Raw genomic sequence first — 15,432 nt, 5'->3', positions numbered from 1 at the left:
GTTATGGGTAATCTGTGATCAGTGATCTTTGACATTACTATTGTAATTGTTTTGAGGCACCATAAACTGTGCCCATATAAGATGGCAAACTTAATTGATCGATGTTGTGTGTGTTCTGACTACTCCATTGACCTACGATTCCCCATCTCTCCCTCTCCTTGGGCTTCACTATTTCCTGGTATGTAACAATGTTGAAATGAGGCAAACTAACAGCCCTGTGATAGCCTGTAAGTGTTCAAGTGAAAGGAAAAGCCACATATCTGTCACTTTAAATCAAAAGCTAGAAATGATCGAGCTTAGTGAAGAAGGCATGTTGAAAGCTGAGACAGGCCAAAAGCTAGGCCTCTTGCACTAAACAGTTAGACAAGCTGTGAATGCAAAGGAAAAATTTGTGAAGGAAATTAAAAGTGCTGCTCCAGTAAACACATGAATGATAAGAAAGTAAAACAGCCTTATTGCCAGGCATGGTGGCTCACGCCTGTTATCTCAGCACTTTGGAAGGCCAAGATGGGAGGATCACTTGAGCCCAGGAGCTCGAGACCAGCCTGGGCAACATAGTGAGACTCCATCTCTATAAATAAATAAATAAATAAATAAATAAATAAATAAATAAATAAAAACAGACTTGCTGATGATATGGAGAAAGTTTGAGTGGTCTGAATAGAAGATCAAACCAGCCACAACACTTCTTTAAGCCAAGGTCTAATTCAGAGCAAGGCCCTAACTATTCAAGTCTATGAAGGCTGAGAGAAGTGAAGAAGCTGCACAAGAAAAGTTGGAAGCCAGCAGAGGTTGGTTATTGAGGTTTAAGGAAAGACACCATCTCTATAACATAAAAGTACAAGGTGAAGCAGCAAGTGCTGATGGAGAAGCTGCAGCAAGTTATCCAGAAGATCTAGCTTTGATGAAGGTGGCTACACTAAACAACAGATTTTCCATTGATGAAACAGCCTTTGATTGAAAGAAGAGATAATCTAGGACTTTCATAGCTAGAGAAGTTGATATCTGGCCTCAAAGCTTCAAAGGGCAGGCTGACTCTCTTAGTAGGGGCTAATGCATCTGGTGACTTTAAGTTGAAGCTGGTGCTCATTTACCATTCTGAAAATCCTGGGGCACTTAAGAATTATGCTGCCAGACACGGCAGCTCATGCCTATAATCCCAGCACTTTGGGAGGCCAAGGCAGGAGGATCACTTGAGCCTAGGAGTTTGAGACCAGCCTGGGCAACATAGCAAGACTCCATCTCTACAAATAATAAAACTGGCCAGTTGTGGTGGTGTGCACCTGTGGCCTCAGCTATTTGGGAAGCTGAAGTGAGAGGATCTCTTGAGCCTGGGAGGTCAAGGCTGCAGTGAGCCATGATCGCACCATTGCACTCCAGCCTGGGCGACAGAGTGAGATCCTGTCTCAAAAACAAAAACAACAAAAAAAGAATTATGCTAAATCTACTCTGCCTCTGTTCTATAGATGGAAAAACAAGGCCTAGATGATAGCACATCTGTTTACAGCATGGTTTACTAAATATTTTAAGCCCACTGTTGAGACCTACTGCTTAGAAAAAAAGATTCCTTTCAAAATATTACTGCTTATTGACAATGCATCTGGTCACCCAAGAGCCCAGATGGAGATGTATAAGAAGATGAATGCCGTTTTCATGCCTGCTACTACAACATCCGTTCTGCAGCCCATGGATCAGAGTCGTTTCAACTTTCAAGTCTTGTTATTTAAGAAATACATTTTATAAGTCTATAGCTGCCGTAGATAGTGATTCCTCTGATGGATCTGGGGAAAGTCAATTGAAATAATTCTGGAAAGGGCTCACCATTCTAGATACCAGTAAGAATATTTTTGATTCATGGGAGGAGGTCAAAATATCAACATTAACAGGGGTTTGGAAGAAGTTGATTCCAACCCTCAGGGATGACTTTCAGGGGTTCAAGACTTCAGTGGAGGAAGTAACTGCAGATGTGGCGGAAATAGCAAGAGGACTAGAATTTGAAGTGGAGCCTGAAGATATGACTGAATTGCTGCAATCTCATGATCAACCTTGAATGAATGAAGAGTTACTTCTTATGGATGAGCGAAGACAGTGATTTCTTGAGATGGAATCTACTCCTGGTGAAGATGCTGTGAACATTGTTGAAATGACAACAACGGGTTTAGAGTATTACATATGCTTAGTGATAAAGCAGTGGCGGGATTTGAGAGGATTGACTCCAGTATTGAAAGATGTTCTACTCTGGGTAAAATGCTATCAAACAGCATCGCATGATACAGAAAAATTTTTCACGAAAGAAAGTCAATCAATATGGCAAACTTCATTGTTGTCCTATTTTAAGGAATTGCTACAGTCACCCCAACCTTCAGCCACCACCACCCTGATCAGTCAGCTGCTGTCAACATTGAGGCAAGACCCTCCCCCAGCAAAAAGTTTACAACTCGCTGAAGGCTCAGATATCATTAGTTTTTTCTAGCAGTGAAGTATTTTTAAATTAAGGTACGTACATTGCTTTTTTAGACATGCTATCACACACTGAATAAGCTACAGTAGAGCATAAACATAACTTTTATGTGCACCAGGAAACCAAAAAAATTCCTGTGACTCGCTTTATTGCAGTGGTCTAAAACCGAGTTTGCGTTATCTCTGAGGTATGCCTGTACTCTGATTCCGAGGTAAAGGAAGGTTAACTGGCAGAACTTCACTGATACTTTTGTTAGGTAAACACACATCTGTCCCCAGGATAATTAACACAACGACAGAGAAGGGAGGAAGAAAAAGAGTTAGTAGAGAGCTAGAAGGGGCTGGCAAAAGGGGAAAGAATAATGTGAGATCATGAGGCAGAAACACATCCATCCCATGGAGGACCTGTGTGTAAGGGCAGGTGGCCCTTAGAGCAGCTTTCTTTATTTTAATAAAGTATATTTCTCTGCACTCATAGAGACAATACAGAAAAACATTAAGAATGACACACACACGTGTGCGCACACATATGCACCCAGAATCAGAGATCACTGCTTCCCCCTAACACAGCTGTCTGAGAACAGTGCCCTGGCTGGATTTTTTGGCCATGGAATAATTTTCCAAGTCCAGCCTGATCATCTCTCTCCCACAGTCAATCCTAGGTGGCAAGAAAATGCTGGCTACTCTGGAACCAGTTCAGGGATGAATGCCATTGATTGCACTGCTACCTCCATCACCTACAGAGTGACAGCATGTGAGAAAAACAAATCACGGCTGATATGCAAAAAAAAAAAAAACAAACCAAAAAACAACAACAAAAAAAATCCCTCTCTGTTCCAGTTTATCACATGTACAATGAGTCTGTGGGGTGTCTAACAAATGGCCTGCCAGCCTCGGTGTAGAAAGGGGCAGAAGGCTTGCAACCTGATGTGGCTGCAGTGGGCCCTCAGCCTGCATTTTGTTGAGAGTCCTACATCCAGAGCAGATTCAATTTTGAATCTTTACAGTGACTCTTTTCGAATGCATGGTTATTCAGCAGATTAAATCTTAATTGCAAATGCAGCTTCAGCGTAGGAGTACCATTGTGCTTGCTGGTTTCAGGCCATTTTTGCTGAGCCGTGCTTTTCCAGAAGGCTGTTACAAATTTAGAAAGGGGGAAATGGCGTTTCATTTGTCGATTGGAGTTTTGTTTTGCCGACTGGATTTATTTTAGTGTTTGTTTAGAGGTGCCAAAAACTGACGTCCCTGGAGAGAGAATTGCTCAATTTTTTTGGAGAGGTTCTCTAAATTGTCCAAACTGCACATAGAAAACAATGTCTGTGGTCCTTCTGTGAGAGGACAGGCTTGCCAACAATCTCATGTGGTATAATTTTTATTAATTTTTCAGAGACCCAAGAAGCCACCGCCTCCATCCGCTCCTGTCATCAAACAAGGGGCAGGTAATGTACCTTTCAGTTCCATCAAATAAAATATGCGTCTTTCTTTTTGCATATATTCAAATCATCCTCAGTGTAGAGTTCGGGATTCCTGGTTCAAGTGCCATAGATTGACTACTTGGGAAGTTACGATTTGGTCTCAGCAGGCAGGTTTTAAAGATACTTCTGTTTTTCCTAAAAGATAAACATACCATTAAAATGTGACCCTGATATAGTGTAAAAATCTAGGCTCCCAATGAGAATGATCAGAAAGAATTAAAACAAACAAACAAACAAACAAAAAAAACAAGTTTGGGTTTTTTTAAGTAAACAGCTTTTGAGGAGAAAAGAACTGAATTGCCCTGTTTCTCATGTGCCCAGTTGAAGGTCAGCTTAGGGAAGATTGTTTCCCACAGGTCATAGCATTGTTGTGCGTATATAGTGTTGCTGAATTTTCGATATCTGTCCCATGTGGTTAACCAAAATTTGTACTGACTTCACTTACCCCTCAACAAAAAGATGTTTTTCTAGCAATAAATACTTTTCCTTATGATTCTTGTTTAATTTTGAAGAGTCTAATTCACTTTTTTTCTGTGTAGTTCAGATATTCAGGTTGAATAATATAGGAAGAATTGATGTTGAACATTTGGTAGCTTGTTTCACACTGGATTCTCATATATAAAAAGATATTTCATATTTCCCGGTAGAACTCCTCTTTATAATAGTTAAAATTAATTATAGGGAAAAATTCCTCCATGAGTTATTAGTTAAGTAGCATTTTAAAAAATTAACAACTAAAATAGAAGAGAAAGGGTATTTTTAGTTCTACACATTCACAATTATATTTCTATAACAGTTAAATTATGAATAAATTTCAAGATTGGTTTATTTATAAACTTATTAAGAAGTGATTTTTAAGTTCTTTTGGCCCACCAAGTTAAGAGGAAAAACTTGACCCCAAATTCCTTTCCCATTCCCTTTGGCATAGTTGAGAATTATTAGAGATTAAGTCCTGAAATGGGATGTTAATTACATCTTTTGCTCCGCCCCCATCCTTGTTTGCATTGAGCAGTTTCATTTTGCCACCTAGTGGTTCTGCCCATATATTTTATTGTGCTGAAATTGAAGCAAGCTATTTATTTACTTTTCTCTGAAGACCCCTTTCCCTGTAGGCCTTGGTAATTGATCAGAGACCGTGGAGATTAGTTGAGGAGTCCAAGGCTCAGGCAGTCTAGAATGTAGCTAAGATTGGATTCTTCAGTATAATAGGATTGTCAGTTCTTTCTGTGTCTCTAGGAATGATACCGACTTCATTATTGTTAGGTGAGTAGATTGTAGCATGGTAGGCAAATTCTTACCCTTTTAAAACAATTTTACCAAAGTTTATGATGGGTCTCTGTGGGGCAAAGCAGGATGGCATTTAATGTTTATAGATTACTGCTCATTTATCCTGCCTGAATGATCGTGGGAACTGCTTTGTAATGGGGAGATAGATATTCATATTTTCTCCCTCGTCAACTTTCCTTGCGTTTGATTATTTTACCAAAAAAAAATCAGATATGAAATTGACAGAAATGAGATGTGGTGATTAATTTGTAGTGAGTCATTAAGAGGAATTAAGTAAAGGATGTGTTTGGTGGATATTTTTTTTAACTTCTTTTGTTCTCTGAGGTTGTGTAATTGAGATTTCTAGTACCAAGCACCCATCTTTGGAACTGGTCATGTAAAGAGTTTGTTAAGAACTCAGCCCAGTCCATACATAAGAGGAGTACTTTTGACTGGTTTGTGCTTTAGCTATTTCTCAAGTGCTCTTACATGCCTGAGGCCACTGGCACCAATGAGGAAACCCCAGGTAAGGGAGCAGCTGCAGTCCATGTGGGTAAAGGCTAAGTGCTAAGTGGTACATTTGAAAAAATGTAATACTTGAAGGACCCCAAATTTGGTGGCATAAAACAACAGCCTTCTTATGTTCATGGATTCTGTGGGTCAAGAACAGACCATGGCTGGGCTGGCTTGTCTCTGCTCCGTCATATCTGGGACCTCAGCTGGGAATACTGAACTAGCTGAAGCTGGAGGATCCACTTTGAAGATGAATGTTTCCCTCACGTGTCTGGCTCCCCTTGGCAAGGGTGCCTGGAAGGCTGGGCTCAGCTGGGGCTATAGGCTGGAGCATCTGTATGTGGCCTCTCCAGGGTAGTTGACTTCTTACATGGAAGTTCAGTATTCCAGCAAATAAAGCATAAACTACAGGGACTTTTATGACTCAGCTTTGGAAGTTATGTGGTATCATTCCTGCCACTGATTGAAGCAGTCACAGGCCCACCCACATTCCTGGCAAGGGGATGTAGACCTCACCTCTTACTGGGAGGAGTATCAGGTAATTCCAGGCCCTGTTTTAAAATGGCTACAAAATGGGATCCAGATTCCTATGAAACCCCCTTTTTTTGGTAGAACACAACATTCAGTGGCCCCTTATTTGTAAAGTTTGATAATTGACATTTATTTATACACATTCTCCACCCCCACCCGGTGATTTCCTGTGACTATATTGATGCCTAAGGAAATCAGGCTTAAATATCAGAAAATATTATTAGTGGTATTCTTGTAAATTAAGGATACATAGGCAGGTGAACTTAATGACATAGGCCAGAAATGTCTTCTGCTCTGTTTCTAAACAGCTCGTGCTTGCCAGATAATGCTAACGCCCAACTCAGGGGAAAAAATCTTACTGACTTTGCTCTACCTGATAAAGATTTAAATGCTGGTGGGTGTAATAATTGAGTACAGAAAACATTTTGTGATCACTATTACCCTTTCCCTCCTAGGCACCACTGAGAGAAAACATGAAATTAAAAAGATACCTCCTGAAAGACCAGAAATGCTTCCAAACAGAACAGAAGAAAAAGGTATGAAATCAATTCTTCATTGGCACTTCCAGAACAGCAGGAGCTGAAGCTGTCTGTTACACGGCTAGTCCAGAATACCCACAGAATTTGCTTTTCCTTTGGAATATGGTGATCATGGTTTTGTTTTGATTGCTTTTACAAATCCTATTGCTAAGGAAGTAGGAGAGGGTTATGTGGTACTTCGTGGGACCACAATTTCTCATCAGATGAAAAATAACCAGTCTAGTCAATTAACACATTGCTGCTGTTTCCTGATGTCTCTACCATGGCCACCCTCTCTGCACCCTGAAGTCGGATGTAAGTTCCTTTAGGGCCTGGTATATATCTGTCAGTTTCCACTTAGCCTGTCCTTCATGCCTAGTGTCCCAAGGTGCTCATTCACTGTTGATGGATGGATTTGGCATAGTGAAATTCACGTCCAGATAAATAAACAAATGAAAGCTCTTTTCTTTGGTCACTCATGGACCCTTGACTCTGGGTAACGTTATTACAGACAGAAGTCCTTGGTCAAGGATGTTGGAGGAGGGGAGGGTGGCATGGTAATACTGGGAAAGCAGCTTGGTCCCCAGCGTCTCCTGAAGGTGGTCAGGAGTGTCATTGGCAGGAAAGTAGGTTAATGTGTGTCCTGCAATCAGGTTTATGAACGCGTTTGACTCCTACCATTTTGAGAGTCTCTCCCAAAGAATTCTGCATACTGTAGAAGGACTCATTTTATTAGGTGTCTAGGATTTGATTGATCACACATTTTTATGGGAAAAGTGCTATGTTATTACGAACAGGAGGCTGAGCAAATCCCATTTTAAAAAGCAGTTATTTTTAAGTCACAAGAGAAATGCTGAATTAATGAATGTAATTATTTGGAGGTGCTCCTTGGTGGCCTCATGAAATTTTATTGTGAAATTTGATATTTGATATCAGCCTGCCAAAAATTTTACCAACATTGCCAGCTCTTAAGAAGCTATACCTCTTTCTTTCACAGTGAGCAGTTAGAACTTGACTTGTGGAACCTCATTGTGAAGGCCAGGTCTGTGTCACGGATTGAAGAAAAAAACCAGCCATTGAGTATATACTATATGAATAACTCTTTGTATAAAAGCATTGGTATGGCCAGGCACAGTGGCTCACACCTGTAATCCCAGTACTTTGGGAGGCTGAGGCGGGAGGATCACTTGAGCCCAGGAGTTCAAGACCAGCCTGGGCAACATAACAAGACCCTGTCTCTACCAAAAAAAAAAAAAAAAAAAAAAAAAAAAAAAATAGCCAGGCCTGGTGGCCTGTGTCCATAGTCCCAGCTACTTTGGGAGGCTGAGGTGGAAGGATCGCTTGAGTCTGGAAATCAAGACTGCTGTGAGCTGTGACCATGCCACTGTACTCCAGCCTGAGCAACAGAGTGAGACCCTGTCTAAAAAAAAAAAAAAAGTGTGTGATGTGAAATAACCAGACACCACCCTCTGTCCTCATGGAGGACACATGGCTAGTTTCTGGGTAATAGCCAGGCTCCGTGATGGGGACACTTCCTGCACTAGTCCATGCTGACATATGGACTAGGCTTACATGTGAACAACCACCCTAGTTGGCTGACCAAGTGGCCCCACATCTCTGGTTCCTTCCTCTCCCATGATCCCTTGTTATATGCCACAGCGGGTGAGGGACGTAGAATCCCTGGTCAGATGCAATAGGGAAGCCAGGGAATCAGCCCTACCCGGATACTTGGTTTCCCTGTTGGGTCAGCACAAACTCCCTTTTCCATTCATCCAGCAGGCTGCTGGAGTTCCTGTCCCTGTCCTGCTGCAATAGGAGAAATGTCCCCTGCTTTGCATTTCAACAGAGCCCTTCCTCCTCTGGCCCCTGTGTGCCATAAAATGAGTTGCCAGCATTCCTGATTGGAGCATATTTCCCCACATTGTGGGGATGAGCATAATAGTACCTGATGGGTTTATTTTTATTTTATTTTTTTAGAGACAGGGTCTTGCTCTGTCACCCAGCCTGGGGTGCAGTGGTGCGATTGTAGCTCACTGCAGACTCGAACTCCTGGGTTCAAGATCCTCCCGCCTCAGCCTCCCGAATAGCTGGGACTACAGGTGTATGCCACCATGCCCGGCTAGTTTTTGTAGAGACGGGGTTTTACTGTGTTGCCCAGGCTGGTCTTGAACTCCTGGCCTCAAGTGATCCTTCCGCCTTGCCCTCCCAAAGCTCTGAGATTACAGATGTGAGCCACCGCGCCCAGCCCTGATGGGTTTTTTTTTTTTTAACCTTTTGCCAACCATCTGGGCACCCAAACAACATGAGTCTGTGTTTGCAAGTAGAAGGTGTCCTGAGTACCATCTTACAAGTAAGCATAGGGAGCCTGCCTATAGTCCGTTGGGCAACTCTCTCAAGTTCCATCTTTATCAAGAAGAATGTGGATGTATGCTTTTTATGCCACACACGGAGCAAGGCTAGTTGGGAACAGAAAATATGAGGTTGTCACTGAACACTGCCCCCGTTCGGCCAACAGATCTGGCTTCAACTTCATTCTAATATCTGTGACTCCAAAAAGCCTTGGAAACCTTATACCTGTGAAGTCCTAGTTTGCCTTCCAAGTTCAAACTTCTTGTGCGCAAGAAGAATCCAGAACTCATTGTTCCCTGAAATGCTCTCCCTTTTATTTGCTCATGGCCCTTTTCAGAGGCCAGCCTGAGACGTGTCAGGCCTCTTTCCTTCCCATACCCAGCAGGTCCCGTGGGCCATTGACCAAACCCCTCAGCCCTCTGCTGAGCCCTGACTCCATGCCAGCACCACATACAGCTCTGAGGAGATGACCAGACTTGGGCCCTGCCCTCAGGGGCTGTCGGCCTACAGGCTGTGCCAAACATGCAAACACCCAGAAAGTGTCTGAGCGTGTTTGTAAAGCGCTGCCCTGTAATGCTCAGGTGAGGAAGGAAGGAAGTCTGCCTTTGAGCTGTTGGGAAGGGAACATGGCAGTGTCACGTTTCAGCCAGGCTTCGAAGGAAGAGCTGGAGTATGCTGAAGGTGGGCGGTGGCCAGAAGGGCGCTTCAGGCAGAAGGACCAGCATGAGTGAAGGTGTGCAAGGGAGGGAACAGTGAGCTCTGTGGGACTTCTTCTAACCTGACAAAGAATAAGTGGTGCTCTTGGCCTTCCATGATCACCTTCAGAAATAGCATCAGTAATTTTTTTTTTTTTTAGCAGGAAATGAGTGATCTGCATCTAAGTACTGTCACTTACACTCGATCTATCTGTTTTCTTTAAACAATGATTTAAAGAAAGACCAGAGAGAGAGCCAAAACTGGATTTACAGAAGCCCTCCGTTCCTGCCATACCGCCAAAAAAGCCTCGGCCACCTAAGACCAATTCTCTCAGCAGACCTGGCGCACTGCCCCCGAGAAGGCCGGAGAGACCGGTGGGTCCGCTGACACACACCAGGTACTGCTGTGCTCTCACCTCCGGGGCGGGTGTGGGGTGGCTATGGAAGGAACACAGGAGGGGAACTGACTGCCACAGACCTTGGGAGGAAGGGAGAGGAGAAGGGGGTGCTCAAGCTTCCCTCTTACATCCTCCAGCAAAATTATCTGAAGACACCGGCCACTTCTGTCCTTGCTCCTGCACTCAGGCAGGAGTGAGTGTGAGGTTGAGGGGTGCGGTGTGGGTTTCATGAGGACTGGGTACCCAGCATTTAGGCCCTGCTCACACACAGGGGTTTTTCCTGGGCCTTATTAGAAGCAAGGCCAACTGCCCTTCAGCCTGGAAATGCAGGTGGCGTGTCCCTCTTTGTCCCCCTGGATGTTGTGCCGGCCTCAAGTATGTATATCTCATGTGTGGCTACGACCCCTGACCCTCACTGCTCTGCAGGGCTTCTTTCCATAGCCCAGGCTCCCTCTGCTCTTCACTGTACAGCCTGTTATGGAACCCCGAGCCAGGAACGTCTCTAACTCTAAGACCCTCAACGGCTGGGGACATGCTTTATGCAGGCATGTGTTCTGAGATGTGCTTGACAGAATGCAAATTCATTCGCCAGCTGGCTGGATGCATGTGTTCCATGAAATCAGAGTTGGACATTGTGTGTTCCAGACCTGAGATACCTACCACAGAGCAAGGAACTGTTGAATTCTCTCCATAAGTTCATTGCCAGAACTTTCTACCATAATATGAAAATATATATGTATTATATGTGTTGGTGTAACACACCAGGGCAGGTCAGTGACTCAGAGGTCTTTAGGTATACATGTCAACACACAGTCACTGAATTTTTGTTCTTATGAGCTAAGTTGGCCTGGTGAAAGTTGCATGGGCTTCACAGCTCTTGCGTTGGAGTCAGACAGACCTCAGGGCTGGAATCTCAGCCCACCTCATTCATGGGAGGAGTAGGAGCTTGGCTACTCTATCCTCTCACCTCACTTTTTTCATCTGTAAATAGAGGATGATAATGGAATGCACCTAAATAATTCCCAAGTATGCAAATCAACATTATTTTCATTGTTATTTTGATTATTGCCTATTGAATTGGGCACGCTGCAGTAAGACAAAAAGAGCTCATTTACTCTCTTAAAGACAAGTTTTAATTAGTGGTAAAATACACACAATGTAAAAATTTACCATCCTAACCATTTTAAGTGCACTGTTCAGTGGCATTAAGTACGTTCACATTGTTGTACAACCATTTCCAGAACTCTTTTCATCTTGTAAATCTGAAATTCTGCACCCTTTAAACAGTGACTCCCCATTTACCCCCTCTCCCAGCCCCTGGCAGCCGCCATTCTACTTTCTGTCTCTATGGATTTGACTACTCCAGGTACCTCAGTAAGTGGAATCATACAGGATTCATCTTTTTTTTTTTTTTTTTTTTGAGGCAGAGTTTCGCTCTTGTTGCCCTGGCTGGAGTGCAATGGCGCAATCTCGGCTCACCGCAACCTCCTCCTCCTGGGTTCAAGGGATTCACCTGCCCCAGCCTCCCGAGTAGCTGGGACTACAGGCATGTGCCACCACGCCTGGCTAATTTTGTATTTTTAGTAGAGACTGGGTTTCTCCATGTTGGTCAGGCTGGTCTCAAACTCCCGACCTCGGGTGATTCACCCGCCTCGGGCCTCCCAAAGTGCTGGGATTACAGGTGTGAGCCACCGTGCCCGGTGGATTCATCCTTTTATGACTGGCTTATTTCACTTAGCATGATGTCTTCAACATTCATCTGTATTGTAGTATGGCTCATTTGCTTTTCATAACAATGACAACAACAAAAACACAACTCCCAGGCTCAAATGTAGAGGCAAGTCGCAACGTGGGCTGGCTGCCCAGTCGATACAGAGCTGTGGTCATCTCAGGTGCGTGTGAGCCCATTCAAGTAGCAGCTGGTTCACCTGTGTCATTCTACAGGCATCTCCCAAGGTCCAGTCCAACAATTGCCTCCATGTGACACCCCCTGTTGAGTTGGTGAGGCCTCTCCATGTTCCACCCTCTACTATGAACTGGCAATAGAAGGTTCTTTGCACATGCACATATTGGGGCCACTTGACAGCCTTGATGACCTTAGCAAGGATCATTTCAGTGGTGTGGTCAGCCCAGAAGCTAGTATATCAGAAGAAAAAACTTATTTAAACCAAAGTGCTTCCGAAAAGAATACGAGCTATACAAATGGGGAAGATGTGGAGCAGCAAAGGTTGCACATCACTGAAGCCACACCCTGGCAAATTCTATTAGTCTCCAGGGGCTACAAACATTTCCGTTAGCTCTATAACAATTTCCAAAATATTCCTGCTGCTCTTTCTAACAATCTGATTGAAGAGAAGTGGAATTCCAACTGCTGCTTTGCCTTCTAGAGTTGCTTGCAACTCTCTGGTTATAGGATAGGTACAGGCTTTGCAAGCCTGGGGGAAATGTGGCATCACCACCAAACTTCTGGGCTCACAGAGGTCCCATTTGCCTCCTTCCTCTGCTTATCTCTTCTCTGCCTCTGCGTCTCCCAGTATCCAGTGGTTAGTTAGAAGTCCAGGCCATGAAGGGAGATGCATGAGAGAGGTTCGTGAAGCCAGTGGAAGATGTAATTGTTCTTAACAGTGCGTGCCATCTGAGCAGCCTGGGAGAGGGTGGTCAGCCCCCAGCCCTCCACACACTCCATGGCTGCCTAGCTCCCTAGACACTGGTTTGCAGGAGGGTGTGGGGGAGGAAAGCCCTGAGATTCCTGCTTAGCCGGTTTAAGGGAGGGCAGTGCCTGCTCTAACTCAGTGGTTCTCAAACTTCAGCATGCCTCCGAATCACCTGGAGAACTTGTTCAAAGCAGATGGCTGGGTGCTATCCCCACAGTTGCTGACTCAGTAGGTCTTGGGTGGGCCTGAGAATTTACATTTTTAAAAGCTGCTGCTGCTGCTGCTGCTGCTGCTGCTGGTAGTGGTGGTGGAATCCACACCGTGACACCCATTGCTCTAGATTCTTCCAAGTTGTTGACGGTGCTCGCCCCTCCTTGCCTGGCTGCCTCTCAAGCGCCTGCTCGTGCTTCAGATTTGAGAGCCCCTGTTAGCATGCCCTCCTCTGGAAGCCTTCCCTTAGATCTCATGATTGCTCTCTCCTCCAAATGCCTGCCACCCGTGTTTAGCCTAGTGCTGGGCCCCATGCTGTGCTACTTGGGATGCAAACACCCCCGGACTTCTTTACCAGATTTAAAGCAGATCAAGAGTGTGTTTTGTCATCTCCACATGCCTTACGGTGTCGAGCATATGGTAGTGGCTCATTTAACAAACACTTGTTGAATGCCATGGTTCCTTAAAAGAGGGGGAGGTGCCAGTGCTTATATTTTGTTCAATTTTGCCTCTCCTGTCGTCCTTCCCAGCCTCCGTACATTTAGTACATTTAGTACATTTAGTACATTTAGTATGCGTGTCTTACATTCTAAGTAACCTATTATGCCATGGATTGCCACACAAAAACACTTTTAAAAGTCAGAGAAAGGCTTATTGTTCCTTGGTACTTAATGCACTTTATATTTTTTTGCTAAGCGATTACATTGAACAACCAACCTGTATATTGGTTTATGCACTTGTTTTCTTCTGCCAAGTTAGTGGAGGTAGGAATGTTAATTCAAATAGTCTTGTGTCAGTGGTCCTCTGGAGAAAGGGTATTGTGTTCTGTGTGAACCCAGATCTTCGCCAGGATTTACCTGACCAGGTGAATGGATGGATAGATGGACGATTGCATGCATGGACATGTAGTCACTGTAAGCAGCTCTCATTGGAAGCCAGGCATTGCCACTCCAGCTGCAGCGTCCGGGCTCACGCTGCTTCTCACCAGCCAGTAATCTTGCTGCCAAGTGCGGCTTTCAGAGGAGAGTAATTTCTTTCTCTTTAAACAGGAGCTAACATCTTTCAGAAAAAAGGAATACTGTACATAAGTTTAGGAAAAGCATCATCACTTTCAGATATATTCACTTAACAAAAAACGTATTACAGGGCCAGGTACAGTGGCTCCTGTCTGTAATCCCAGCACTTTAGGAGACCAAGGTGGAAGGATAACTTGAGGCCAGGAGCTCGAGACCAACCTGGGCAATATAGTGAGACCACATCTCTACAAAAAAATTTTTAAAAATTATGCAGGCATGGTGGTACACATCTGTAGTCTCAGCTACTCAGGATGCTAAAGTGGGAGGATTGCTTAAACCCAGGAGGTTGAGTCTGCAGTGAACTGTGATGGTGCCACTGCACTCCAGCCTGGGCAACAGAGTGAGACCTTTCCTCCATAAATATATATATGTGTATTTATATTTATAAATACATATTTATAAATATAAATATAAATATATTTATATATATATAAATATGTATTTTGTATATTTATATACATATATTTATATATATTTATAAATATAAATATATATTGACATATATTTATAAATATAAATATATTATATATAAATATATATAAATATATTATATATAAATATATATTATTAATATGGTAACATAAAATCAGTTGGACATTGTATATTTTGTATATACAATTAATATATATTTATCTATTTTGAAATATAGAAAAGAATATTACAAATATATATTCATATATTTGTAATATATATTTTATATATTGTTAATATAAATATTTAGAAATATATCATTAATATATATTAACAATATATATTTATAAATATAAATATAAATGATATATATTTATATATTTAGAAATATATAAACATATACCATTGATATATAAATATATGTTAACAAATATATACATATGTGTTAATAAATATATTAGTATATTAATATAGTTATAAGTATACATAAATAATATATATTATTAATAGCACCATAATTATTAATAATTATAATAATACTATAATTAGTAATTATATTAGTCCTGGTCAGACCCAGGTGTTCCAGTTCACAGTTTTTAGGAATTATATCTAGGAAAACCACAGTGACATCAGTCAGCAGTCTGTGTTCAGCCTGAGCAAGTGGAAACGCACATGAAGGCTCTTACAGTGATCGCTCCCTTCCTCAGATAGTAATATACTTGACCTTTAGTAAGAATGTTCTCCCCACTTCTAGAAAGTAAGTTCATGTGGAATTTCAACAGGAAGAAAAGACTTTCAAAAATGTAATACCAGCATTGATTTAAAAATTCAATGGTGGGCTGGGCACGCTGGCTCATGCCTGTAATCCCAGCACTT

The 15,432-nt window shown here is 42.7% G+C and overlaps 1 protein-coding gene across 32 annotated transcripts in view; it reads left to right on the top strand.

Moving 5' to 3' along the window:
- Positions 1–15,432, top strand: part of SH3KBP1 (SH3 domain containing kinase binding protein 1) — a 353,624-nt gene that overhangs the window by 288,753 nt on the left and 49,439 nt on the right. For 31 of the 32 annotated variants that reach the window (NM_001353890.2, NM_031892.3, NM_001353892.2 and 28 more), the window contains 3 exons: positions 3,848–3,899; positions 6,701–6,781; positions 10,046–10,205. In NM_001353890.2, the coding sequence (NP_001340819.1) occupies positions 3,848–3,899; positions 6,701–6,781; positions 10,046–10,205 (293 nt within the window). Of the gene's footprint in view, positions 1–3,847; positions 3,900–6,700; positions 6,782–7,760; positions 7,787–10,045; positions 10,206–15,432 lie in introns of those variants that run through there. The other variant, XM_011545503.4, reaches the window with a different exon arrangement.

The sequence above is a fragment of the Homo sapiens genome, chromosome X (assembly GCF_000001405.40).
Source record: "Homo sapiens chromosome X, GRCh38.p14 Primary Assembly".
NCBI classification, from domain to species: Eukaryota; Metazoa; Chordata; class Mammalia; order Primates; family Hominidae; genus Homo; species Homo sapiens.
Note: the sequence above shows the minus strand (reverse complement) of the source record. Positions and strands in the feature narration are given on the sequence as shown.